The following is a 26,824-nucleotide window of genomic DNA, read 5'->3' on the forward strand; positions in this document are numbered from 1 at the left end:
CTCGCTCTGTTGCCCAGGCTGGAGTGCAATGGCACGATCTCGGCTCACTGCAACCTCCACCTCCTGGGTTCAAGTGATTCTTCTGCCTTAGCATCCTGACTGAGTAGCTGGAAGTACAGGTGTGTGCCACCCCTCCCATCTAATTTTGTGGTTTTAGTAGAGACAGAGTTTCACCATATCGGCCAGGCTGGTCTCAAACTCTTGACCTCAGGTGATCTGCCCACCTCTGTCTCCCAAAGTGCTGGGATTTGGGAGCCACCGTGCCTGGCCCTCCAGACGTTTCTAAATGTGCCTTGGGGTGCAATGTTGCTCCCAGCTGAGGACCACTGTGGTGGATCAACATAAGCTCCAAGAGAAACTAGCTGTCTCTGTCTGGTTCACCATTGCATTCTCAGGATCTAGAAGAGTACCTGACACATAGAAGGTGCTTTACATTTGCAAAATGATCAAATAAACCTGGATCATGGCAATCTTAGGCTAAAAACAAAAGAAACTACAAAACACACTTCAAATATCCTTATTGCTTTCTAAATCAAGTCTGAATTCCTTAGCTGGTGCTCAGAGCTCTCCACCATGTGGGTCCAAGTGTACCTTCTCAGTCTTTTGCTCCCATTTGGACTCAGGTGGTCCCCACAGACTCATTTCACTACTTTTATTTCATTTTATTTTATTTGAGAGAGTCTCACTCTGTCGCCTAGGCTGGATGGAGAGCAGTGGTGAGATCTCCGCCCACTGCAACCACCGTTTTCCAGGTTCAAGTGATTCTCCTGCCTCAGCCTCCCGAGTAGCTGGGACTACAGGCTCATGCCACAAGGCACTGGCTAATTTTTGTATTTTTAGTAGAGATGGGGTTTCACCGTATTGGCCAGGCTGGTCTCGAACTCCTGACCTCAAGTGATCCACCTGCCTCAGGCGACCCAAAGTGCTGGGATTACAGGTGTGAGCCACCACACCTGGCCAACCACATTTATTTTTACAAAATGATCTCAACCGCTTGGCGAGAAATCATTTCGGCCTACCACGTTTATCCTGCACTAGAAGACCCGTTGGAAGAACTGTCAAACAAATATATTAGTCGTCAAAGTGACACTACGAGGTAAACCCTACATGAATAAGAGACGATAATGTTTTATCGCACAAGAATAAAGCTGGCTCTTTCCCCCTGCTTGACATAGATTTGAAATGGTACCTCCAAGGCTGTGGCTGGAAAGAGCCCAGCTTCAAGTGAGCCTCCTCCCTTTTGTTGCTCCCTCTCTGCCATCCTGGGATGGGAGTGTGCGTGGGGAGCAGGGGGGTTACTCAGAATCTGATGTAATCCCTCCTTTCCATCCATGATGCACAGTCCTGAGCTTGCAGAGGAGCCCTGGGAATGGTCTCTCAGCTGTGGCCCCTTCTGGGTCCCACAGGGGCCTTTCCAGGGTGTACAGTGCAGAGATGTGCACAGAGCTGTTAAAAAAAAAAAAAAAACAAGGCCAAGGAACAGAACGCATGTGGCTTTTCCAGCGGGGATGGTTCTTATTTAAACTTTGGTTTTACATTTGTTTTGATATTTGAATTTGAAGCCAGGCCAGGAAAAAGGAAAATCTGCAATTATAATCATTTCTTAGCCTGTTAAGATGAAACTTTAAAATGAAATGTTAGGTTAGAAAGTAGGCAAAACAGCCGGGCACGGTGGCTCGCACCCGTAATCCAAGCACTTTGGGAGGCTGAAGCGGGCAGATCACGAGGTCAGGAGATCGAGACCATCCTGGCCAACATGGTGAAACCCCGTCTCTACTGAAAATACAAAAATTAGCCTGGCGTGGTGGCATGCACCTGTAGTCCCAGCTACTCAGGAGGCTGAGGCAGGAGAATCGCTTGAACCCAGGAGGCAGAGGCTGCACGGAGCCAAGATCGCATGCCACTGCACTCCAGCCTGGGTGACAGAGCGAGACTCTGTCTCAAAAAAAAAAAAAAAAAAAAAAAAAAAAGTAGGCAAAACAGCAATAGGCTCAGAGGTCAAGCAACCCAGCAAGTTCCAATTCAGGTTTCTCTCTTTGTAGGTATGTGACCTTGAGCAAGTTATCTCACCTTTCTAAACCATGGCTTCCTTAACTGTTGTAATAATGTTAAACTCTTTGGGTGCTAGGGAAGCTTAAAGAAGATAATCCATGCCATGTTCTCAGCACTGTACCAAGAGCCACACATAAAGGAAAGGTGCTGTTTTGTTTTTGTTGTTGTAGTTGCTGATGAATACAGCCTCCTGTAGAGATAGTAGGGTCTCCTCTGGACAATGGCTTCTTCCAGAGATCAAGTCTTACCCCTGGAACATGCAGAGCCATGTCAAATATGAAATCAATGTCTTCTTACCCTTTGCTTGTGAAGGGAAGCTGACAAGCTGGGTAGGACAGGGTTGGGGGACAAGGGTATTATTTGGCAAAAGCACTGAAAGTTTCCTCTTCACAGCTGGACTAAATATGGACTCATTCTGTGGCCACCCCCCTCTAGACCTCCCTGTCACCATTTATACAACAAGAAGGTTAGAATCTGAGTGTCTCTAAACTATCTTCATTCTTTGATCTACTAGTCTGGTGTTGTTCAATGGAACTGTCTGCAATGCTGTAAACCTTGTGTCTGCCAACTTGGTAGCCGTTAACCAGATGAAGGTATTGAGCCTTGAAATGTGGCCAGTGCCACCAAGGAACTAAATTTTTGACTTTATCTAAATTTTAATACATTTAGATTCAAATGTAAGTAGCCCATGTGGCTAATGGTTACTACATTGGACGGCACATCTTCATAATTCTGGAAATCCACAATGAAGTTTCTAAATGCAACCACGATTCCCATATTGTTGCCAGATCCATCCATCTACAGGTGGCAATAGGAAGGTATGTTACACTAGCAGACTCTAGTATCTGTGAGGTCAGAGATCATGTCCCAGTATGACTTTCTCTCCAGAGTCTTTTATAGCATAGAACACAGAGCCGGTGACAAATAGCATGTCAATAAATGAATGAATGAACGAATGAATGATTTTTCTCTGGGAGTCTCTCTTTCATCTTCCTGCCATAGGCCTGAAATTCCCCTAAGAGCAAATAATTCTGGCAGCTTTTGCATTCTGCTGTCCAGAAGTCATCTGTTAAAATACAGCCACCCTTGGGAAGGTATTGTAATAAATAAGGCCATTATTAGCATCCTACATCCATTAATCCATCAGATTAGTTGAACACTTAAGGGAATAGTACAAAGGAGAGGAACACACTGATTGTAAAGGCTGAGGGAAATTCTATAACTTAATGAGTTTATGTGTTGCATATTGTACATGTTTCCTTTTTCCTTGTGTGTTCAGGTGTGCCTGTCTGATAATCTCCAGGTGTGTCGGTGTATGGCTGTGTGTGCAATATATAGATGGGATTTGTCCATTGTTAGATAGTTGGACTCCAAATGACAATCATAATAATAAAATAATCTCAATAATAATCTCTGCCACTTAATATCTAATGTGATCTTTGAACAAACACTTAGCCTTTTGGAATTCACTAACTGTGAAATGGGGATAATAGGAATTATGTCTTATGGATTTGTGATCATTAAACAACATATTTTTTAAAGTACCTGACACAATACCTGACATATAATAGGTGCTCAACAAGTGCTCACTAAACGACACAATAAAATTGTGATTATATATTTCATATGTCTACATATTGTATATGTCTTACTAATTACATTAAATGCATTGCAACTATTCTCTTCTTTAATTCTCATAATAATATTGCCAGCTACGTAGTATATTATCTCTATTTTACAAATACAGAAATGGCCTCGAAGGAGCTGAGTGCCTTAACTGAGTTCAGCCAACCAGATCAGCAAATCAGCCAGTGTTGAAGAATAATAGTAATGATCCTAGAGTGATCTAATAGGAAAAAATAATTGGAAATGAGCACAGACTGAACTTCAAATCTACAGCCTTTCCCTAAAGCTGCCAAGGCCTCTGGAGCCAGGAGGGCCCTGAGTAGCCAGACATCTGCATAATGGTTTCTCATCCTTTCCTCTCTTCTCATCCTTTCCTCTCTTATCAGTTAATTCAGCTAGCTGAATATGGCTCCAGGCTCAGAGCCAGTTAGAGCCCTCTGAAAACAAGGCTGTAGGTGGATAAGTGGGGAATGTCTGTTTTCTTCTCTTTTGCATAGAAACCCAGACTGTGTGAGTTTTGAAGGTTAGCAGGGGTGCTAAGGAGGCTAGTCAAGGCCTATTTGGAAAGTGAAAGGCTAAAACAAAGCACCTCAGGCCAGAGAAAAAGGAAATAGCAACAGCTGTCTCTGCAGATGCGCTTCCCTCACCCACTCTCGCATCCCCATCCATCCTGGGGATGTGGGTGGTTGCAAAGTTGTGTTTAGAGAAGGGATGAAATTGGGTGGGGATGAGGAAAGCTTGAGACATTATTGTAAAGTTAAAGCTATAAAATCTTTGTGAAATCTTCTTCTTCTAGATCAAACCTGGCCCGTAAAGTTGTTTAACTCCCACATTATGGTTGTGGGAGATACTACCACCCAATAAAATCTAAGAGGCTACCAGTCATACTGTGTCTGGATTCATGTCACGTCCAGTACCTGCACCACAACTGTGAGAAGTAGGAATACTGCAGAGATTTCCTGATAGATCAGTAATCTCAGAGTCCCAGAATCTTCCTGCTATGTCTGCTTAAGAGTCAGGTTGTTTAGGTTCAACCCCCAGCTCAATGTTAGTTAACTTTGACTTTCTTCTTTCAAAAATGGGGGTGATAATGTTGATATTGGTAAGACAATTAAAGGAGGTAATTTATGGAAAATATTTATAGTAGTGCCTAGTACAAAATAGGTATTTGGTGAATGCTGGTGCTCCTTATAATTATTCCGTCTCCACCAAACATCCTTTTGGTAATGAAATATTGTGCTTGGTCTCATGGCCAGCAGTCAGAGTGCAATGCACTCTCACAAAGCTTGTACCTGGAGTTGAGTCAACAGATGCATTTTATCTCCCATGTCTTTTAAGTGACAGAATCCTCAGTCATTGAGTGGAAGTCCACAAGTTTGGCGCTTGACATGGTTAAATATAGTTTGGATGTTTGTCCCCCTTCAAATCTCATATTTATATGCGATATAGTTTGGATGTTTGGCTGTTTGTCCTCTCCAAGACTCGTATTGAAATATCCCTGTATTAATCCTTTCTCACACTACTATAAAGAACTGCTTGAGACTGTGTCATCTATAAAGAAAAGAGGTTTAGTTGACTCACAGTTCCGCACGCCTGGGGAGGCCTCAGGAAATGTACAATCATGGTGGAAGGCAAAAGGGAAACAAGGTAACTTCCTCACAAGGTGGCAGGAAGAAGTGTCGAGCAAAGGGGGGAAGAGCCCCTTATAAAACCATCAGATCTTGTGAGAATTCACTCACTATTATGAGAACAGCATAGGGGAAACTGCCTCCAAGATCCAGTCACCTCCCACCAGGTCTCTCTCTCGACACCTGGGGATTACAATTCAAGATGAGATTTGGGTGGGGACACAGAGCCTAACCATATCAATCCCCAGTGTTGGAGGTGGGTCTAGTGGGAGGTGTTTGGGTCATGGGGGCAGATTCCTCATGAATGACTTGAGGCTGTCCTTGTGGTCATGAGTTCTCACTCTATTAGTTCATGTAAGAGCTGGGTGTTTAAAGGAGCCTGGCACCCCTTCCTCTCTCTCTTGCTCCCTCTCGTGCCATCGATGTATCTGCTCCCCCTTTGCCTTCTGCAATGATTGCAAGCTTCCTAAGGCCTCACCAGAAGCAGATGCTGGTGCTACACTTCTTGTACAGTCTGCAGAACTGTAAGGCAAAATAAACCCCTTTTCTTTATGAATTACCCAGCCTCAGGTATTCCTTTATAGAACGCAGAATGGATTAATGCAGCTCTGAATCAGAATTGATTACCCTTTCGTGACCTCTTAGCAGTATCTTTGCTCTAGACTGAGCCAGGACCTAGCTCTGGGAGTTTCTGTAGCTCAAGAGTTGGTAAATAGTTACCTCCAGGATCCTGGCCCAGTTTCTAGCATCTATTCTGCCACTTTCTGATTGGCAACCACAAAGAAAAATGGGGAAAGAGCACAAGCTCTAGATTAAGGCAGAGTGGTTCAAATCCTAGCTCTACTACTCACTTGCTATGTAATATTAGTTAAGTAATTTCACTTCTATGAGCTGCAGGGGTTGTTTTTTTCAATCTAGGCATCCTCAAATGGCCTTGGTAGCACAAACCTCTTGACGATTATGTGAGTCAGGGTTCTCCAAAGAAATAGAACCAATAGAATTGTAAACCAAAAAGTATCTGAGGCAGTATCTGAATCAGTTTAGATTTTTATGTTGTCAAGATTAAGGACCATAGCCCGTGACACACCCTCAGGAGGTTCTGAGAACATGTGCCTGAAGTGATTGTATTACAGCTTGGTTTTCTATAGTTTGGGGAGACAGAAGTTACAGGCAAAGACATAAATCAATATGTGGAAAGTATACATTAGTTCAGCCTCAGAAGGCAGGATATCTCAAAGCGGGGGCTTCCAGGCCATAGGTGGATTCAAAGTTTTCCTGATTGGATATTGTTGAAAGAGTTAAGCTCTGCCTGAAGAGTTGAATTCAGCATAAAGAAATGCTTGAGTTTAGATAAGCGGGATTGGGGAAGCCAAGTTTCTTATCATGTAAATAAAGCCTCTACATAGCAGACTTCAGAGAGAATAGATGGTAAATGTCCCTTATCAGTACTTAAAATGTGTCAGACTCTCTGGAAAGGACCCAGTAAGGGAAGGAGATTCTCTACAGAATGCAAATTTTCCCCCAGAAGAGATGGCTTTCAGAGCCATTTCAAAATATATCAAATAAATATATTTTGAGGTAAAATACTTCACCTGCTACCTGTCGTGTGTCATGTCATGACAGAGTCAGATTGCAATTTGATAACATATTGCTACAAGCAGCTTGTTTTGTCAGTCTTAAGATCTCTCTTTTCATGTTAATGCTGGCCAGTTGTGCCTAAACTCCAAAGGGAGGAAGGTATTATGAGGCATGTCTAACCCCACCTTCCCATCATGGCCTGAACTAGTTTTTCAGGTTTCTTTAGGATTCCTTTGGCCAAGATGGGATCCATTTAGTTGGTCGAGGGCCTTAGAATATTATTTTGGGGTTAGAGCATGTATTTATACATACTATAGAAACTGGTTCATGCAGTTATGCCGACTGAGAAGTTGCACAATCTGCCGTCTGCAGGAGGGACACCTAGGACAGCCAGTGGTGTAGTTGCAGTCTGAGTCCAAAGCCCTGACGACTAGGAGAGTTGATAATCTAAGATGCAATCCTTACGCCATGGAACACTATGCAGCCATAAAAGGAATGAGTTCATGTCCTTTGCAGGGCCATGGATGAGGCTAGAAACCATCATTCTCAGCAAAATAACACAGGAACAGAAAACAAAACACTGTATGTTCTCACTCATAAGTGGGGGTAAACAGTGAGAACACATGGACACAGGGAGGGGAACATCACACACCAGGGCCTCTCGGTGGGGTATGGGTATAGGGGAGGGAGAGCATTAGGACAAATACCTAATGCATGAGGGGCTTGAAACCTAGATGACGGGTCGATGGGTGCAGCAAACCACCATGGAACATGTATACCTATGTAACAAACCTGCACGTTCTGCACATGTATCCCAGAACTTAAAGTCAAATTAAAAAAAAAAAAAGAAAGAAAAAAAAGATGCTGTCCAAATGCAGAAAGAGAGAAATGTCCCGGCTTAAAATAATCAGACAGAGAGAGAAAATTCTCTCTTACCCTGCCTTTCCCCTATTCAGGCCCACCCACCGTAGGGAAGACAATCTGTTTTACTCAGTCTACCTATTCAAATATTAATGATAACTAGAAGCATCCTCATGAGCCCACTAAGAATAATGTTGACAATATTTGGGCACTGTGTAGTACAGATAAGTTGACACGTAAAAGTAACTATCATAGTGGCCTTACTTGGGCACCAACACTGGAATAAATGAAGGTCAGTGGTTTCCAGTCTCCTTGCATCACTTCTTTCAAGAGTCAAAGTCCCCACCGGGTGCAGTGGCTCATGGTTGTAATCCCAGCACTTTGGGAGGATGAGGTAGGTGGATCACTTGAGGCCAGGAGTTCGAGACCAGCCTGGCCAACATGGTGAAACCTCATCTCTACTAAACCTACAAAACTTAGCTGGGCGTAGTGTCGCATGCCTGTAATCCCAGCTACTGGGGAGGCTGAGGCAGGAGAATTGCTTGAACGCGGGAGTTGGAGGTTGCAGTGAGCTGAGATTGTGCCACTGCACTCCAGCGTGGGAGATGAAGCAAGGCGCCTTCTCAGAAAAAGAAAGAAAAAAAAAGTCAAAGTTCCAGGAAAGATACTGAATGGCTGTTATTATATCATGTGCCTGTCCCTATGTATTCTGGTGGTGTGAAAAGTGATATGGTTGAGATACCCAGCACATAATACATGTTCCACTTATGAATACCTACTTTTATTTTTTGTTTCTCTCCTCTCTGTGCCTTATTATCAGTAACTCAGTGAATCATTTCAGAATGTCTTTGCAATCTAGTTATCCTGAAAACAACCTCCTCAACACCCACTGGCCAAATTTGCTTCTTTGCCGTCAATAATGTACACAGTTTAGGTGTTGAACAGTGTGATACTAGTTATTTCAGTTCTTGGCATTGTGTTTACCAATTTTTAAAAGTCTTGCCTTCAGGACACACTGAACATGATTACTCTATGTGAAAGACGCATTCCTGGTACTTTTTTAACGTACCAAGCCAGAGTCCTACCAGCCTTTCTCCCTGCCCGCTGCACTAGAAGTGTAAGCATGTCCTTGCCTGGGAGGAAGGGAGCCGAGAGCCATGACCTGGCATGAGTTGGGTCTTTTGGGGGTGGACCCTGTACTTTTTAGTTAGTAGATTAGCAAGCTCATGAAAAGGCATAGCCACGTGCGGTGTCTCATGCCTATAATCCCAGCACTTTGGGAGGCCGAGGCAGGTGGATCACCTGAGGTCAAGAGTTCGAGACCAGCCTGACCAATATGGTGAAACTCCATCTCTACTAAAAATACAAAAATTAGGTGGCTGTGGTGTTGTGCACCTGTAATCCCAGACACTCGGGAGACTGAGGCAGGAGAATCACTTGAACCCAGGAGGCAGAGGTTGCAGTGAGCTGAGATCGAGCTGCTGCACTCCAGCCTGGGTGACAGGGCAAGACTCTGTCTCAAAAAAGAAAAGGCATAGCTCTTGCCTTTCTTTGAGCCTCAAGATTGCACTTTTTTTTTGAGACAGGGTCTTGCTTTGTTGCCCTGGCAGGAGTGCAGTGGCACGATCTCTACTCACTGAAACCTCCGCCTCCCGAGTTCAAGTGATTCTCGTGCCTCAGCCTCCCAAGTAGTTGGGATTACTGGCCCCTGCCACCACGCCTGGCTAATTTTTGTATTTTTTTAGTAGAGACAGGGTTTCTCCATGTTGGCCAGGCTGGCCTTGCACTCCTGACCTGGAGTGATCCACCCACTTCGGCCTCCCAAAGTGCTAGGATTACAGGTGTGAGCCACTGTGCCCCGCCAAGGTTGTACTTTAATACTTGTGTCACCTAAAATCTTTCATCGTACTCATAACAACATCATGCGCATTTATTAGCTTTGCGCAAGAAATCTGTTTTTGAAATGCATGCAAAGGGAGAGCAACTGCCCCTCCCACTCCCCTAAATACAGATATTTCCCATTCCCCCTCCTCTTAATTTCAAACTCGGCCTCGAGCAGGGGCCTCTCACCATCACTTCTTCTAGCCCCTGTGCACTTCTACAGAATCTTAGGCAGACTGGAGTAGATTAGAAAGGGAAGAAAACATAACTCCTAAATGCCAGCTCTCTAGTAAGAGTCTGTTTCTAGTTAGAGTCTATTTTCGCCCTGGACAACACCAGTGTGATTACAAGTGCAAGGTCTGCAGATTCAGCTACCCACCAGGGGGTTTGAACCTCCCCATGTTAGCAACATTTTTCTTTTCCTTTTTCTTCTCTTTTTCCTTTTTTTTTTTTTTTAAGGAATTTTACTCTTGTCACCCAGGCTGGAATGCAATGGCGTGATCTTGGCTCACTGCCACCTCTGCCTCCCAGGTTCAAATGATTCTCCTGCCTCAGCCTTCTGAGTAGCTAGAATTACAGGTGCCCACCACCACGCCTGGCTAAATATATGTGTATACACACACACACACACACACACACACACACACACACACACACACATATATATTGTATTTTTATCAGAGACGTGATTTTGCCACGTTGGCCAGGCTGGTCTTGTACCCCTGACCTCGGGCGATCCACCCGCCTCAGCTTCCCAAAGTGCTGGGATTACAGGTGTGAGCCACCATACCCAGCCTAGCAACATTTTTCATAAGAGGCAGCCTACTGCACTGGTGATATAGGAGTTAAGAAGAAATTATTTAGGCAGATAGTGAGAATACAGAAGTCCTCAGTAACATTTTCCTTTCAATGAAAAGCAGCCCCCAAATCATTTTTTTTCCCTAACAAGGAGCACCCTGTAAAATTGAGCTGCAGACATAGACAAGCGAGCTGGAAGCTTGCACCGTTGAATGCCGGCAGTTGTGCAAGTAGAAAATGGCTGCCTGGGACTAGGCAGGTTAAAAATGGCGCCTCCATCTTCCCTTCTTTTTGCTAAACCTCATGTACAGGAAGGAGAAGACAACATGACGCTGGCCAGGCAAAGGCCCCATTTGCATAATAAGATTGGGGTAGGGCGACCAGCCTTCCCTGCTCGCTAAGTAAATCACACACAGCCTCCTCAAGCCTGCCTGTAAAATCAGGAGCAGTCTGCTGCAGGCTGGTTTTTCCTTTCCGGCGCCCCTCTTTCTTGCAAGCGAGAGAGCTGTTCTCCTTTCTCTTTCTTCTATTAAACCTCCGCTCCTAAATTCACTCCTTGTCTCCTTGTGTGTGTTGGCATCCTCATCTTCTTGGGGCAAGACGATGAACCCTGGGTATTTACCTCAGACAATGACACTGCCTTACTGGGTTAAGGATACAGATTAAAATCCATGTGCTAGGTTGCATTGTTGATCCTAATTCTTCACCCCTCCCTCCAGCCACATCATTTTCCTTGTTGACTTTTCATTTTCTTCCCACTCCTCTAATTTGAGTTCTGCTATGTCACTCTCTTTAGGCAACAGAATAAGCTGAGGTGATGTAAAATTCCAAGACTACTCCTTCCCAGGCCTGTGAGTTTCCCTTTGCCCTCTTGCATCTCCTCCATGCTAGGAGAATAACATGCCCAGGACAACCTGCTGGATGAAAAGAACAGCAGAAAGGTAGAGCCATGCCAGTGAATTCCTAGCCCACCCCTAGCCAACCTGCAGACCTTGAGCTAAATGATGGCTTATTGTTGCGTCCGTCCTGGAAAGATATTTGGGGTTGTTTGTTCGGGTTCAATTTCTTGACTTTTCATGAAGAGCTAGAACTAGATGGTTCTTAAGGATAGTTTTAGCTCTGAAATCATGCAGTTCCTCAGATATCCAATAAATCGTCCCCCAGTATCTTTGCCTTGAGCATTAATTATATTGTATTGTAGGAAACATATCAAGTGTCTGCCTCCCCGACCGATTGTGAGATCCAGGTGGATCAGCCATGGCTTACTCATCTCTGCAGCACAGTGTCCATCTCAGGGCTAACACATTGTAAGTTATCAGTTAATGTTTGTTGTGGGAATGACTATATGGCCGAGGGGCCATTCCAGTGGCACATTCAGATAGGCAGCAAGTTCATCGACTTTCTGTTTTCAGAGACAGATATCTCCATTTCACCCGACTATGTGCATGCTGTCCTTTGTGCAGTGGGTGACTTGATCAACCAGGATTTTTTTCATTTAATTAATGTATAGCATACTTATCAAATGCATACAGTGCATCAAAGTGCTTTTAGATTTTCATGTATCTATTTGTATATTTAGCTATCTTGTTAACTATAACAAGATAATACCTGCCAATGATTTAAAAATAGGTACTATAAAAGGATATCCAGTGAAAATTAAGTCCCTCCTCCTCTTCACTGTTAGTTCCCTAGGTCACCTCTCTGTTGTAGTTTCTGGGATAGCGTTCCAGAGATATTCTATGAATGTACAAGCAAATAGGCATCTATCATCCCACTTCTCCTTCTTTTGTGTATTAATGGTGCATACTTCCACGCTCTTTTATTTTGCTTTCCTCACTTACTGTTTGCTTTAGATAGTACAGTGTTTAGTAGACATTGCTCTGTCTTGATATTCTAATGGCTGCATAGTATTCCATTTTATAGCTGCACCACAATTTAAGCAACCCTTGTTGTGGGTGTCAAAGTTAATTTCAGTCTTTGGGCCAAACTCCTCTGAAGGGCCTTTGAAAACCTTGGCCTCATTGGGAGCCAGCAGGGATGGGCACTTGACCAAAAGGCCAGCGGGGAATGATATCTAGCCCATACTCCACTCATCAAGCCAGGAACTCTAATGTATCACTGTACAGGTGTACAGTGTGTAAGACAGATTCTCCCTGGCCTCATCCCTCTAAAAGTCTTAAAGAGGTAGCCCTGTGATCCTAGCGCCCAGCCTATCTCAGAGCTTAGCTAAGTGAGATGACCAGTTGCCACCTTGAATAACCACAGATGCTAACTACTCCATAAGCAGTTAATTATGAAGAGTCAGAACCAAGTAATAGATATTGAGTAAGGAGGTGGATAAAAGGCTGGGACTTGAGAACGGACCAGACATAACAATGGTGCTAGACCCACGAAGTGTCCCATAAATAGAAAAAAAGAGGGAATGCAGAGGGCATGGGGATAGAGAGTGATGGTGAGAGTTGATCTCCTAGGCAGGTGGGGGAGCCCTGGAGGGTCAGTTCTGGGGGTTCCTGAAGGTTAACATAGGACAAAAAAAGTTAATGGCTGCCAATAGAATTGTGAACGTCTGATGGAAACATTTTAAAAACTCCTCTTTAATATGATTTTTAAAACATTTTAATTTTTCTGTAAAAAAAAAAAGCTATTTATCCAAACTCTTCTTCTTTCTATGATCTCATGTCTTTAAATATACCAAACATGATAATTTTATGAGCAAATCACATTATACATAATACATTTTTATGTTTCAAATCTTACAAAATGACTTAAGTTCCATAGAGTGTGTTAATTTTTTTTAAAGAAGAATGCATATATTTCAGTGTTCCCACTTTGCTACTTCATCTGCTCTCCTCCATCACAAATATCCCCCTCCTTGGCTTCAACATTTTGGAAAATTTCTTGTCTGTAATTCCAAACTTCTCTTCAAGGATGACTTCTCCTTTCCAGATAAGATCCGGACTCTGATTCCAATGCCACCATTTGTTTGCAGTTTGACTTCTGATGAGTCACTTAAGCGCTCTAGTCCTTGGTTTCCTATCTGGAAAGTGGAAACCATAATAATACTTACCCCATGTTGGGATGATTGCATGGTATGTGTTCAGTATCTGGCACAGTGCTCGGTGCACATTCGGCAGACTTTATGTTCCGTTTCTCCTTCCTGATACCGTTCAGAAAGTACTCTCTTTGGTCCTGGACCAGTGGTCTCTCATAATAACCTGGCTGGGTTAGAAATTAGATGGAGATATTTAGGTAAAATAAGGAGGGATCAGAAGTCAAGAGAAATGACTTGAGATAGATCTCAAGCAGAAAAGGTGACACAGGAAAAAAACACAAAAACAACAACAACAACAACAAAAAACAAAGAGAGGCCCTCTGCTGGTATACTGGAGAAGACAGGCCTGTTGGAAGAGGCAGGGACAAATCTCTGGGATGACAAGTTGTCCTGGTTTTCCTGGAACTCAGAAGTTCTCAAGATGTGAGACTTTCAGTGCTAGAACCAGGAAATCAGGACAAGTTGTTCACCCAATGTCTTAACCTTTTGGAAGTCATGAAGGACCCTTCCCAGGCCCATGAAAGACTGGGTGGACCCATCTGCCTCTTGACAGAGTAATCTCCATTTCTTGTTGGAAAAATATTGAAAGGGCAGGGAAGAGACCACAGGGCCAAGAAAACACTGAAAGCGAGAGAGATCGTCACTGGGAAATGACTCAATAACTCTAATTGGCTAGAGGAGGCCCCATCCTACCTCAAATATCCATTTGTCTTCCAAAAGAAGCTTCAAATTGGATTTAAAAGGATGTTTTTTCCCCAAACAAGGACAAAGATCCTTCCATCAGCACAGCAAGGAAGCAGCACTGTTCAGACAGGACCTCTGATCCCCCCAGAGACTCCAGAATCACTGTTTTCCCCAGAGAGAGAAGAACAACTGGGGAATAAAAAAAAATTCAACAGGGTGTGACCCCAGGAGGACTCTCAGGAGCCTCACGTGAGAGGATTATTAGGGGCACAATAAAATAATCAGGCGTTTGCCTTTGAGTATATGCGCACTCTGTCCTGATGTTACTCATGCCTTCTCCATCCATCTGGGGGCAGAGGTGCTACATGGCCCTGTGGTCCAGCTGCCAGCAACTCCAGGGGCTTCCTGATGTATGCTAAGCTGCTGCCGGAGCTGGTCTGTCCTCTTTTGATTCCTCTTTTGAACTCTGCTTTTGTCTTTTAAAAATATTCAGCCCTTCAAGACTTCTTCTCTCAGCAAGGGGTCCTCTGCCGTGCCCGTCGAAGTCAGAGGTCCAGGAGAGCTGCCCTTCACTGGAGAAGGGGGAAAGGGAATGGTTCTCTCCAGGGCAGCTTTTGCACCTTGAATGGGGTTGAAGTTGTCAGTGCATGATGCAATTGGAACATCCATACAAGGGTCAAACACTCCATCTTCTCTCTTTCAAAGGAAGGAAAACAAAGCCACAGCCAGGGACATGGGAGGACCAGTTTGGTCCTGGAGCCCTTCCAGCTGCAATCAAATCCTCTTCTGATTCTTCAGGCAATCTGGAGCAGAGGAGGCTGGTTTGAGTAAAGGGTGGTTTTGGGTACAGGGTATCACCCTAATGGTATCATTGATATGATTCAAGCTCGTCCTTGGGTGTACATTTGACTGAGATGTGTATGGATCCCAGACACTGCCCTCCCAATATCCAGGAGGGAGGGAGGATTTCATGGCTGTCTGTTTTGGTGTCATGCATATTTCATGGCATCCAGGGTGAATAGGTCCTCTGGACATTTTCCAACAATCTCAGACTTCCTGGAGCCAAGAGCCACATCATGTTTTCGAAGGGATAAATTGTCTAACTTTGCAGAGATAATGATCCAGGTTTCATTCACCTACTAAAAGGTTTGAATGAAGGAGATCAGTAGAGATGTCCTAAAAACCATTAGAAATAAAAGGAAAATTGTTGCATAAATATCTGGAACGTAAACTACCCTGTTTTAAGGCAACCATCCTACCCTTAGCAGCAAAAAGGGAGGGGGAAGTTGGGGAGGGGGAATTTCTCCAGTGCCCCTGCTTGCCGATATAATTTCTGCTTTATGCTTTCTCATTAAAACTTCATAACCTTGTTACAAAGGATAGCAAAGACCTTGCTCTCAGGAAAGGTTGTTTCATCTAGCTCCAGACTGTCTCTGTTGTAACTACAGCCACGGAAGCTAAAAGGATCAACATTTTAATTGTGTTTCCTTGTTTTCACATGAATCTTATTCCATTTGACTTCCCCATCCATGCCCATGTCCCTAGTTTTCAAATGAGAAAACTGAGGTTTGGTGATCTTTGGACTTTGAGACCGATGCTATCTCATTTCATATCAAGAATAGAAAGCAGATCCCTTTTCTCTCCTCATTGGGGGCAGACAATCATCACTACTTGACAAAACCTGTGTTTGGATTCCTCCTTTCTGGGATTTTCACATTGCTACCACTTCTAAAGAGAAGAACATACCTCTTAGTGGTTATTGGTGCAGATGTCTGGAGTTTGAGCCAGTGCTGGACACAAGCTGTCCTCATGAACACATGTGGCTGACTATGAGAAGAAACAGCAACCTGCTCTTGATTTGAAATTAGAGTCCTGCTAGCAGAGGGTTCTTCTGTCTCCGAGCTTTACTCTTCTCCTCTGTAGAATTGGGGCAAGTTGCAGTCCCTAGCTCTTGGATTTACTGTGAAGAATAAATGAACTAAGGCCGGGTGTGTTGGCTCATGCCCGTAGTCCCAACACTTTGGGAGGCTGAGGTGGGAGGATCACAAGGTCAGGAGATCGAGGCCATCCTGGCTAACATGGTGAAACCCCGTCTCTACTCAAAATACAAAAAAATAGCCAGGCGTGGTGGCGGGCGCCTGTAATCCCAGCTACTTGGGAGGCTGAGGCAGGAGAATCGCTTGAACCTGGGAGGCAGAGGTTGCAGTGAGCTGAGATCACACCACTGCACTCCAGCCTGGGTGACAGAGCGAGACTCCATCTCAAAAAAAAAAAAAAAAAAGAATAAATGAACTAATATAAATTCTTATTTGCCCATTACATATTGAGAGAAATAGGGTCATGATTGTAAAATGTTTACCAGGGAGCCTGCCACATCAATGCTCAGCAAATGTTACCCACCCACGCCTCCTGGAGCAGGGCACACCACTTCCAGTTTATGTGCTAGGAACCTGTATATTCTAGAGACAAGGTAACTCCTACCTTTGGTTCTGGTAACTTTTCATGCTTCCTTCCTCCTGTGAATTGTTTCCATGTGCAAAGCCAGTTCCCAAATTAGTCCCATGGGGGACACCTCTGGTTGGATTAGGGTTCTGTCTGTCATTCATCCATTGGCTGGTCAAAGACCCATGAGGTCATCTAACCCAGAGGAGGCTGGCCAATTAACTTGAGCCCTATCTTCAGGCCTAGTCAGACCGGCTTTCTCTGGATGTGTCCCATAAATAAGAAGAGGATTAGTTAGGTGAGAGCAAGTGGATAATGGAGTTGAGAGGTGACAGACACAGAGCCATCATTAGGGAGAAAGTTTGCAGAGGAAGAGAGAGATAGATGGAGTAGGTTGTTTCTAGCACTATCTTGAATCCTGATGGCTTTTCTGGTTCCGCTTCCATCATAAATATGCTTTCAATATCTATCCCCTACCCCCCTTTAAAGGTGACTATAGTCCCTTAAACAAAGGTGCCCATATAACTTTTCATCGGTTGAGAATGAAAAGGAATATGCTGTCTTAGAAGATGCAAAATTCTCTTTTGGGACATTCCTGCTCCGTACATAAAATCAGAGACAGGTCATGCAACTGTCATTCAGCTCCATCCTTAACTTGTTTCGATGAACCAGTCACACACTTTCCCTGATTGAGCCTCAGTCTCCTCATCTGTCAAACTGCCTGGACAACCTCTCAGGCTCTGTTATCCCATGAGCCGTAGAGCCTTTGATGCTCTGTGTCTTTGAGGGTGGCCAAGACCATTTTGGGGGGGATCGGAGACTCAAGTAGGAATCACAGAGTGAAGGCATCCTGGTTCCTTAGGACCTGGGCAGGACTATCTTGGTGCTTCTGCCTTGTACCCCCTGGTGTCTACAGAAGAAATGGAGACATATTATCAACCAAAGAATGAAGATAAATACAGCCTTTGTTGGATTAATATCCCCAGGATTACTCACATCTCCTTCAAAGTGAAGCAAAGATCATGTGCCGCCTGACAACCGCCCATCTGGCCCTAGAACAGTCACCATATGGGTAGTTCTCACTAATTATAGTTAAATACTGAAGGGATGGGGTCCAGCGTGGTGCCTCCTCACATCAGAAGTCCCGTGGTTTCCCGTCTCCCAGGAGCTAGTGGAAAGGTCACGTGGTCACTCTGCTCAGACCTGTCCAGGAGCAAGCAGGCATGTCATTGAACCTCACCAGAACCAATTTTCTCCAATTCAAAAGTGAAGAAATAATACTCATCCTTCTCTGTGTTAAAAAGAGTTTAACAACAGTGACCTCTGTGCCAAATAGCCAGTCAAGATCTTGGATCGTAGAGGAATCCAAGAAAACAATTAATAATTTGATAAAACCACATTAGGTTCCTATTATGGATCCAAGTCCTTGTTCAGTGCACTGCAATTTATATCAAAGACAGAAATATAGAATTATTTTAATTACTTAATTATTTTGCTAGTCCCAGGCAAAAAACCCTTAGTGAATCATTCTGATCCCAGAAAGGAATTTCCCTTGTAGAAAGCACGTAGCAACCTACAGTGTTGCTTTCTTAAAATAGTTGGAGGTTACATTCTCTCCTTCTCAAGAAGATAAGGAAATAACTCATTTGAAAGATGAGAAATGTGTTTCCTACACCTGCCTTTGGATAATCACCAAGAGCCATCAATTTAGCTGTGGACCACATGTCAGGTGTGGGACTTAGTTTTGGGTAAGGGGAGGTGGCATATTCAATTTGTGGGTGGATGTTCATCAGTGGTTTCATTCTGCCTGCATTGCTTTGTCCATTCTAGACCCTGGTTCTCTAGGCACAGCTAGCTTTCCTCACCTATAACACCATCAAAGTAACAACCTTTCTGTGGAGGCTCAAACCTCCACACCCCAAGAATCCAGGTAGGCAATATATTAATACATGACTAAAGTGGAACAGATGCAAGAAAATACACAGCTCTCTCAGAGTTTGTTAACTGACCCACTTTTTAAAAAGATGTGGCCACAAGGATATTCTCTTCTGAAACAAAAACAGCAATGACAGTATGATGACAAATGTTAACTGATGCCTGGCTCTAGAGTCTGGGAGACAATGAAGTGTGGGAGGGATAGTTCATTAGTGGGAGAGCCCATGCGCTTTGTCAAGGAGGCCCCCTTCTGAACAGCTAACACATGGTTACTGATATGGTTTCGCTGTGTCCCCACCCCAGTCTCATCTTGAATTGTAGCTCCCATAATTCCCTTGTGTTGCAGGAGGGACCCAGTGGGAGATAATTGAATCATGGGAGCAGTTTCCCCCATACTGTTCTCATGGTAGTGAATAAGTCTCACGAGATCTGATGGTTTTATAAAGGGAAACCCCTTTCCCTTGGCTCTCATTCTTCTCTCATCTGCTGCCGTGTGAGACGTGCCTTTCACCTTCTGCCATGATTGTGAGGCCTCCCCAGCCACGTGGAACTGTGAGTCCATTAAACCTCTTTCTTTTGTAAATTGCCCAGTCTCTGGTAATGTCTTTATCAGCAGTGTGAAAACAGACTAATATGGTTACCATTCACCAGTGAAGTGCCAACATTGCCAGATAATGGGCTTTTCTAGAGATACTCTCAAATGGGATATTCATGTGTAATATTCTGATTTTTCTTGATGCAAATTTTAAAAAAAGTACCTGAAGCTTTTCATGTGGTTTGGCTCTGTGTCCCCACTCAAATCTCATGTTGAATTGTAACCTGCAGTGTTGGAGGAGGGGCCTGGTGGGAGGTGATTGGATCATGGGGGCAGACTTCCCCCTGCTGTTCTTATGACAGTGAGTGAGTTCTCATGAGATCTCATTGTTCAAAAGTGTGTAGCACTTCCCCCTTCACTCTCTCTCTCCTGCTCTGCCATGTAAAGATGTGCCTGCTTCCCCTTTCATTCCACCAGGATTCTAAGTTTCCTGAGGCCTCCCTAGCCATGCATCCTATACAGCCTTTGGAACTGTGAGTCAATTAAACCTCTTTTCTTCATAAATTACCCAGTCTCAGGTAGTTCTTAATAGCAATGCAAGAATGCCTAATACAGCTTTCAAGTATTATTTTTAAAAAGAGGCACCACCTTTACTCTGGCTTGGCTGAAGTGATAAGATGTGAGGCTACCAGGGGCCTTCTTGTCAGTCTAAGGAGACAGCTTACCCAACGTGTCACCAGCACAGAAGAAACAGAGCTGAGGGATGGTAAGCATCTGAGTCCTGGTGATGTCATTTGAATCCCTGGATCCAGCCACACCTGAAGCTTCCAGTATCCCTAAACTTCCTAATTGCATAGCCTAACAATCTCTTCTTTTTGCTTACGTCAGTTAGAGTTATGGCTCTTTTACTTGCAACAGAAAAACAATCCTAATCAATACAAGGACCTCAGCGTCATTCATGAATAATTGATAACAACATTGTTCAGCATGAGCATGCCAAATATCTGCTGATATTTGAAGTGGCTGGAAAAGAGTATGTGTTGAGGCTGAGCAGATTGTACAGATAGGAAGAGGAGACATCATAGATAGCCTAGGGTGCTTTCCTTAGCAAGCCAGTGAAGGGTTTGGGAGATGGCCACAGCATTCAGTCTTGGGATTTTATTTGGAAGTCTGGCTTCTACACTGCACGTCCTGCCTTTTTTTCTGCTAGTTGGTTCCAGGGCAGTAAAGGGTCTGCCTCCTGAGTGATGGGATGGAAAGATTAGGCCCATGTTTTCTGGAGTTCTAATACCTCTGAGCCTGTTACAGACTCATTTGACTGGTTTGTAATCTCCAGGTGAATGTATAGTAAGCAGAAGCTCTCCTGGCACTTTGAATACATAATACAGTAAAGCAAAAGTCACGATAATGGAAGAACAAATGGCACAATATTTTCCTAAGTGTATTTGGGTTAGATTTACGTTAGACTTGGGAACCTGGCAATTTAATAGGTGGGAAAACTTTCATCAAACTTCAGAAGTACATGTATAATTCATGGCCTCTTGGTACATGGAATTTCAGGGAGGGATTCTAACCTGAGAGACACAGTATGACACAGAGCAAAATACTGTCACCTGTCCCCTTGCTGAGCCTTCTCTTGCAATTTATGGGGATTGTCAGTTACTAACCATCTAAATAACTCATTTCCATGCCAGAGATTATAACTGGAGCAGAAAATACCGGAGCTCAATCCCTTATTGTGACTTTTTTTTTTTTTTTTTTGAAAATGGGACACAGTCTGGTCTGTATGGGTGTCACCAAGTTAGAGCTGTCATAACTTAAGGGCTATTAGGTACTTTTTGCCATATCAGTCTTTCACCTTATTATTTTACAAGGGTCCTAAAGTTCATGCAAGAAGCACTGAAATGGAACCAGTGGAGAGAGGATGATAAGACGTTGTTTTCATATCCTAATAGCAAAGGCTCTGAGATTAAACAGACTTGGATTTGAATCAGGATTTCTTCAGTTACAATCTGCTGTCTTAAATAACTAATTTATCTCTCTGAGCCTCAGTCCTTATCAATAAAATGGGAGCAACAGTAGCACCGACATAGAAGTTGTGCATAGAATGGGTGTTCCCTCGTGCTTCTTTTAATAAAATGAAGAATTCATGAATTTCAAGCATAATACCCATAGTAGATTTTTCCTTTTTTGTTTGTGTGTGTTTGTTTTGAGAAAGAGGTGTGGAGAAAAAAAAGGGAGAAAGAGAGAGAGTATAACAGCATGGTGTTTAACCATCTGGACTTTGAGGCCAATCTGCTGAGGTTCGAGTTAAAGGCTCTGCTACCAGTTTGTTGAGTAACCTGCTCAAACGACTTAACTCTGAGTGCCTCAGTTAGTTTTCCATAATGTGGAGATAATAACACTATTTAGATCTTAGATTGTTATGAAAGTTACATGAATAAATATATATAAAGTGTTTGGAATAGTGCCTGGAAAATAATGTACTATACACCTTAGCTATCAGCAATGATTATATTATTATTAATTGGACTCTGCTATTATTTCTTTAGAAATGATAAAGGTAATTACTCATTTGATGTGGAGGGCTATAAGATTTGGAAGGATGATTAAAAGTATGGTAAACTTTAGATTTAGTCATTCCTGATTTAAGATGTGCTCAACCTTCATTTCTACATCTATAAAATGTGAACAATAATTGCTACCTCTTGGGACTAATTGACAGCATGGTATACCAGCCTTGGACACAGTGGCTGTCAAGATTATCTCTCATTTTACAGAGGAGGAAGTATGGGAGGATAAGCCATCTGCCTACATACACACAAATGGCTTAACCTCCTATATTTGGCCAGGTGTCTTTCCCAAAATTCTTTGCCTTTTTCGCTCCCCAGATGCTTCCTCTTCTAAAGGAATATGGGAACATATAGGGGACAGTGTTATCCTTTGGATGTGATGGTGCCTTGTGAATTGATGCATTAGTTGGGGTATACTGGAGAATTCATCTGTTTTGAAAACTCCCCTTGAGGTGAGTCCTCAGTGGCCGTGTTCCTGCCATGTGACCTCAGCCTTTTGTTATGTGATTGGACCAGGGTAGACACATGATCAAAACTGTCCCAGTCAGATTCACCCTCTGGGGAGCTGGAAATCAGAAGTTGAGTCTTTACAAACCCTCCACCACAATCCGGACAGGGGGACCCTTTTGAAAGGCAAATCTAAAAATCAGTCACTTTTTCCCTGCTTCAAACAGCTCTGTGGCTCCCTATTGCTCTTATCCAGCCTGGCCTTAGCCATGATGGCCCTGCAAGGCTTTAACTCATGTCATCTCATCTTTCATTTTAGTGCTGCAGCCACACTGGACTTTGTTGCCCCTTGAGCTCAAAATGTGTCCTCTTGCTACCGGGCCTTTGCACATGCTGTTCCTTCTGCAGGGAACACAAGCCCACTCTCCACTCCACTCTCTTTCTCCTCTTTCCAATATAATTTCCATGGTTACTTTCTCATGCAAACCTTCCCTAATCTCCCTGACTGGGTCAAATTTGTCTACTGTGGGTTTTCATTGCACTGTGTGCCTTTCTATCAAAACACTAACCACAGTTGTGATTATACATTTGTATGTATGATTATTTGATTAATAACTGTCTTTCCCAGCAGACTCCAAGCTCCACTGGGAAGGATCCATGTTTATTTCTCTCCACTTCTGTATCCCCAGCACCTGGCACAGTGCTTGCCCATTGTAGATACTCAATAAATACTTGCCAAGAAAATGAAGAAGAATCAGGGATGTGTAGAGCTACCAGGTGAAAGTCCACAAACCACTGCTGCTGAGATTCTTAGAGTTGTCTTTGTCCCCACCCTTGCCTGTCTTAAAGTATGCTTTTTTCTTCACATTTTCTGCAGATTCAATAAAAGACCCTCAACATCCTTTCATTGAATTCCCATGTTTTGTTTAATCTTGTATGAGTGGATTCCTCTTCCCTGCAACCCAATAAAACCTTTCATGCTGCTGTAAGGAGATGGAGATTGAAAAAAATCCCAAGGGTTTTCTTCCCCCAAGATGATTCAAAATGAGGACAAATAACAGAGGCAATGATGATGACCATCACTCTGAGAAACATAAAAGATGTCTATAGTTTATACCTGCTGTTATTTCTACTCTGACGCAGCAGACAACCTATCAGGTCAGGAAGCATTATTCTAGTTACCTCTGGTCCTAGTAAAGTTTTATCTTCAGTTCTTACAGTGCCTTTGCTAACCTGTATTTGTTTCTCCATTTTAAACACGCTTTCCTCCCACAGACCCTGTTTGAGTTAATCAGTAACCTATTCAAAGGCAAAACTCTCCTTAAAGGAAACATTGATAACAACATGTAAGGATCCTATCTATACGTAGCAGAGACATACTGATTCATTTGAAACCTTTAAAAGTATCTCAGTCTGCATGTCTCCTCTGGATTCATTATTTATCTCTGTTCCAATCCTTTTCTGTGACTGAACCAGAGCAACATCCACCCAGTTGCCTAAGCCAAAAATCTGGGCATCTCTTTGCTTCTTTCCTCTCCTTCTCACAGTCAAATCCATTGAGTTTATTCACCATTCTGCCTGCTAAATAGTTCCCAAATCTACCCACTTCCTCCCTACAGTCTCACCACCACAACCCTAGTTAAGCTGCCATGGTCTGTCTCCAAGATGCCTAAAACTCTTTTCCAATTCTCTCCCTGATTACATGCTTACCCCTTCCACACTACTCATTTTTCCAAGCACAAAACTGATCATATCTATTATTTCACGTGCTCTATATCTCAGCTGCCACATCAGGGTCACACCTTAGAAGTCACTGTTACTGAACACTGTCCTATGTACAAACATCACAGATGCCAGCTTCCTACATTTTTTTTTTAAGACAGAGTCCAAGCTGGAGTGCAGTGGTGCGATCTTGGTTCACTGCAACCTCCATCTCCTGGGTTCAAGCGATCCTCCTGCCTCAACCTCCCCAGTAGCTGGGATTACAGGCATGTGCCACCATGTCCAGCTAATTTTTTTGTATTTTTAGTAGAGAATTTCACCATGTTGGTCAGACTGGTCTCAAACTCCTGACCTCAAATAATCCACCCCTCTCGGCCTTCTGAAGTGCTGGGACTACAGGGGTGAGCCTCCACATCCGGCTCAACTTATTCCTTTGTGGCTACAAGATCCTTTGATCTTTAAGGCAACAAACTCTAATACAATAACTCTTCAACTTCACTATGACTCTAATCCGTTTACACCATCACTTTCCCCACATTCGGTAGTCCCTTTCTCTTTGCCATTATTATTCTGATTAGATTTCATGGTCCATTATTTGCAATCACCTGCTTCCAAATGCCATCTACTCAATGTTCTTGGCTCCTGTTCTCCCTCCACCATACTTTCCTGGCAACACCCAGCACTAGATGCAGTAAGGGCTACACACCTGAGCAGCTAAAAACCACAACAGAGAAAAACCCAAGAGAATGGTTTTACATCCTATGACGTTTTCCTATTGAAATTGCTTTTCTGCTCTCAAAGATCTCAAAGATCTAATCCAAACTAATGAGTCTGTTGTAAAGATTAAGAGTTAATATATGCAAAATGATTAACATATTACCTAGCACATGAGAAGCACTCAATGCATATTAACTATTGTTGTTGTTAATATGATTATTTTTGTTTTATTTTTGTCATGATCATTAACCCGACCTATTCTTAGCTGATGATCTTACCGCTTAGTCAATAGAGAAACTGGAAAACTTCAGATGAAAACTCTGTAATGTTGCTGAAATCTTTGCACCAAATCTGCAGATCTCTCAATATCTCTAGTTAACTTCACATTCTTTTCTCTGAGAAATTATATCTTATCTTCCCAAGGTTGATTCCTTAACATGTGATCTCAATCTTACATACCTTTTCTTTCATAAAACTTTTACATTTTCCCACTTTTTTCTTTTTCTCTCTAGTACCACAAATAAAATGCTAATCATCATCTAATCACCATGCTAATAAAATGCTAATCACCATGTGGTGTGGGAGTCACCTGCTCCCACACCACATCCTCAGGACAATCCCTTCAGTCAAAAATGTAAAGCATATTCCATGAAGTGATGCTGGGATTCTGGCCTCTAGATGGAGAAGGACTTGGTCTGGGAGGAAAATAATCATCAACTGCTTTACAAAAAAGTGAGAAATCCTATAATTAAAGTCCTAGTTGATTCACATATTTGTATCCTGAAAGCCATTTCTTTCAGAATTGTAGTTCATTATCCTAAAGCAATTGATCTCTGGTGCTTGTATGTTTAAAAGTGTAAGAAGCATCCTGACAGAAAGGCTGACTAATTATATTAGGCATCATGATCTTTAATTAGATCAATAGGAGAAGAGCATCAGTAAACATCTTGAGAAGCTTTTGTTACATTGGCTGGGTCCTCCAAGAAACCCCAGCATCAATACTAATCCATAAGAAAGTGTTCAGAAAAACACGGTGGATTAACAAGGAGAGAAAGGATAATTTGGATAAAATTAATCATTGTTGTTATAGGACAAAAGCAAAAATCAGCTTAGCAAATGGGTCCAGAGCATTAAAGACCATGCCCTTCTCTGCCACAGCCTCAGGACTACTCTCAGCTTCACAACCCATGACGGTCTGTTGGCAGAGACAAATGACAATTTCATCACCAATGTATACTACTCTTCAAGGGAAAACCCTGGAATTATTTTACTTATAATGAAATCACCCAAGAAACCCACTGAGTGTGAATCACAGGGCAGAATCAAAGCTTTTCTTACTCACTGACTTTGTGGAGGGTGAGGGTGGAGAGTGATGGGATTGGAGAACCAGCCAGTAGGTCTGTATTTGGCTATCATTTAGATCTTGGTTTTATAACAATTCATCTACGAAAGGTTTGTGTGTGTATAGGAATGGGGGGTGGAAATTACTACATACCAGGAATGGTTCCAAGTGCTGCAAACTTGTTTTCCCCCATCATTCCTTTTTTAGCTCTTCTTCCTTCTTCCTCCTCTATGCCCTTTTCTTATTTCTGAGGGTTCTCTAAAGCTGTGGCAGAATTCAAAATTATTTTCTAAAGATCAGATCCTTGCAATATGTTTTCCCATAGTGCATCTGCCACCAAATAGAATAACATGGTAATAATATTGATAATAATGATAACAGTAGAAACTATCATAGTGGCAACAATAATGACACAATGGCCATATGTACTGAGTTCACACCATTTGCCAGGCATGATGATAAGCACTTACAATAGATGCTATTATTGGTCTCATTTTATAGGTGGAGAAACTGAAGGCACAGCAAAGTGAATATATATGCCCCAAATCTCACAACCAGTAAATGACAGAGTCCAAGTCTGAGCCCAAGAAGCATGCCTCCAAATCCTATGTTCTTGGTCATTACACTATAGTAAGGACCTCAAAGGAGGCATTAGTCCTCTTGGCTTCTCTTAGCAGGAAAGAGCTAAGATAAGTCACTCTGTTCATTCTACAGGTAGAGAACACTGAGTCTCCAAGGGCCTGCAACATTCCCCATGTATGTAGAATTGGAAGGAAGGAGAGGGAGGCCAACCCAGAGTAATTTCATAATTTTTGAATAAATCTCTACTGTGACTTGTTTAGTGGGTCACCCAAGCTGCTTGCTTGGGTACATTAAACTTCTTTTTTTTAAATTTTATTTTAACTTCAGGATACAAGTGCAGGTTTGTTATATAGGTAACCTTGTGTCATT

The 26,824-nt window shown here is 42.9% G+C and overlaps 1 protein-coding gene across 4 annotated transcripts in view; it reads left to right on the forward strand.

Moving 5' to 3' along the window:
• SHISA9 (shisa family member 9) overlaps nt 1–26,824 on the forward strand; it is a 661,420-nt gene that overhangs the window by 416,753 nt on the left and 217,843 nt on the right. The window lies entirely within an intron of this gene.

This window comes from Homo sapiens, chromosome 16, assembly GCF_000001405.40.
Source record: "Homo sapiens chromosome 16, GRCh38.p14 Primary Assembly".
Lineage (NCBI taxonomy): Eukaryota > Metazoa > Chordata > Mammalia > Primates > Hominidae > Homo > Homo sapiens.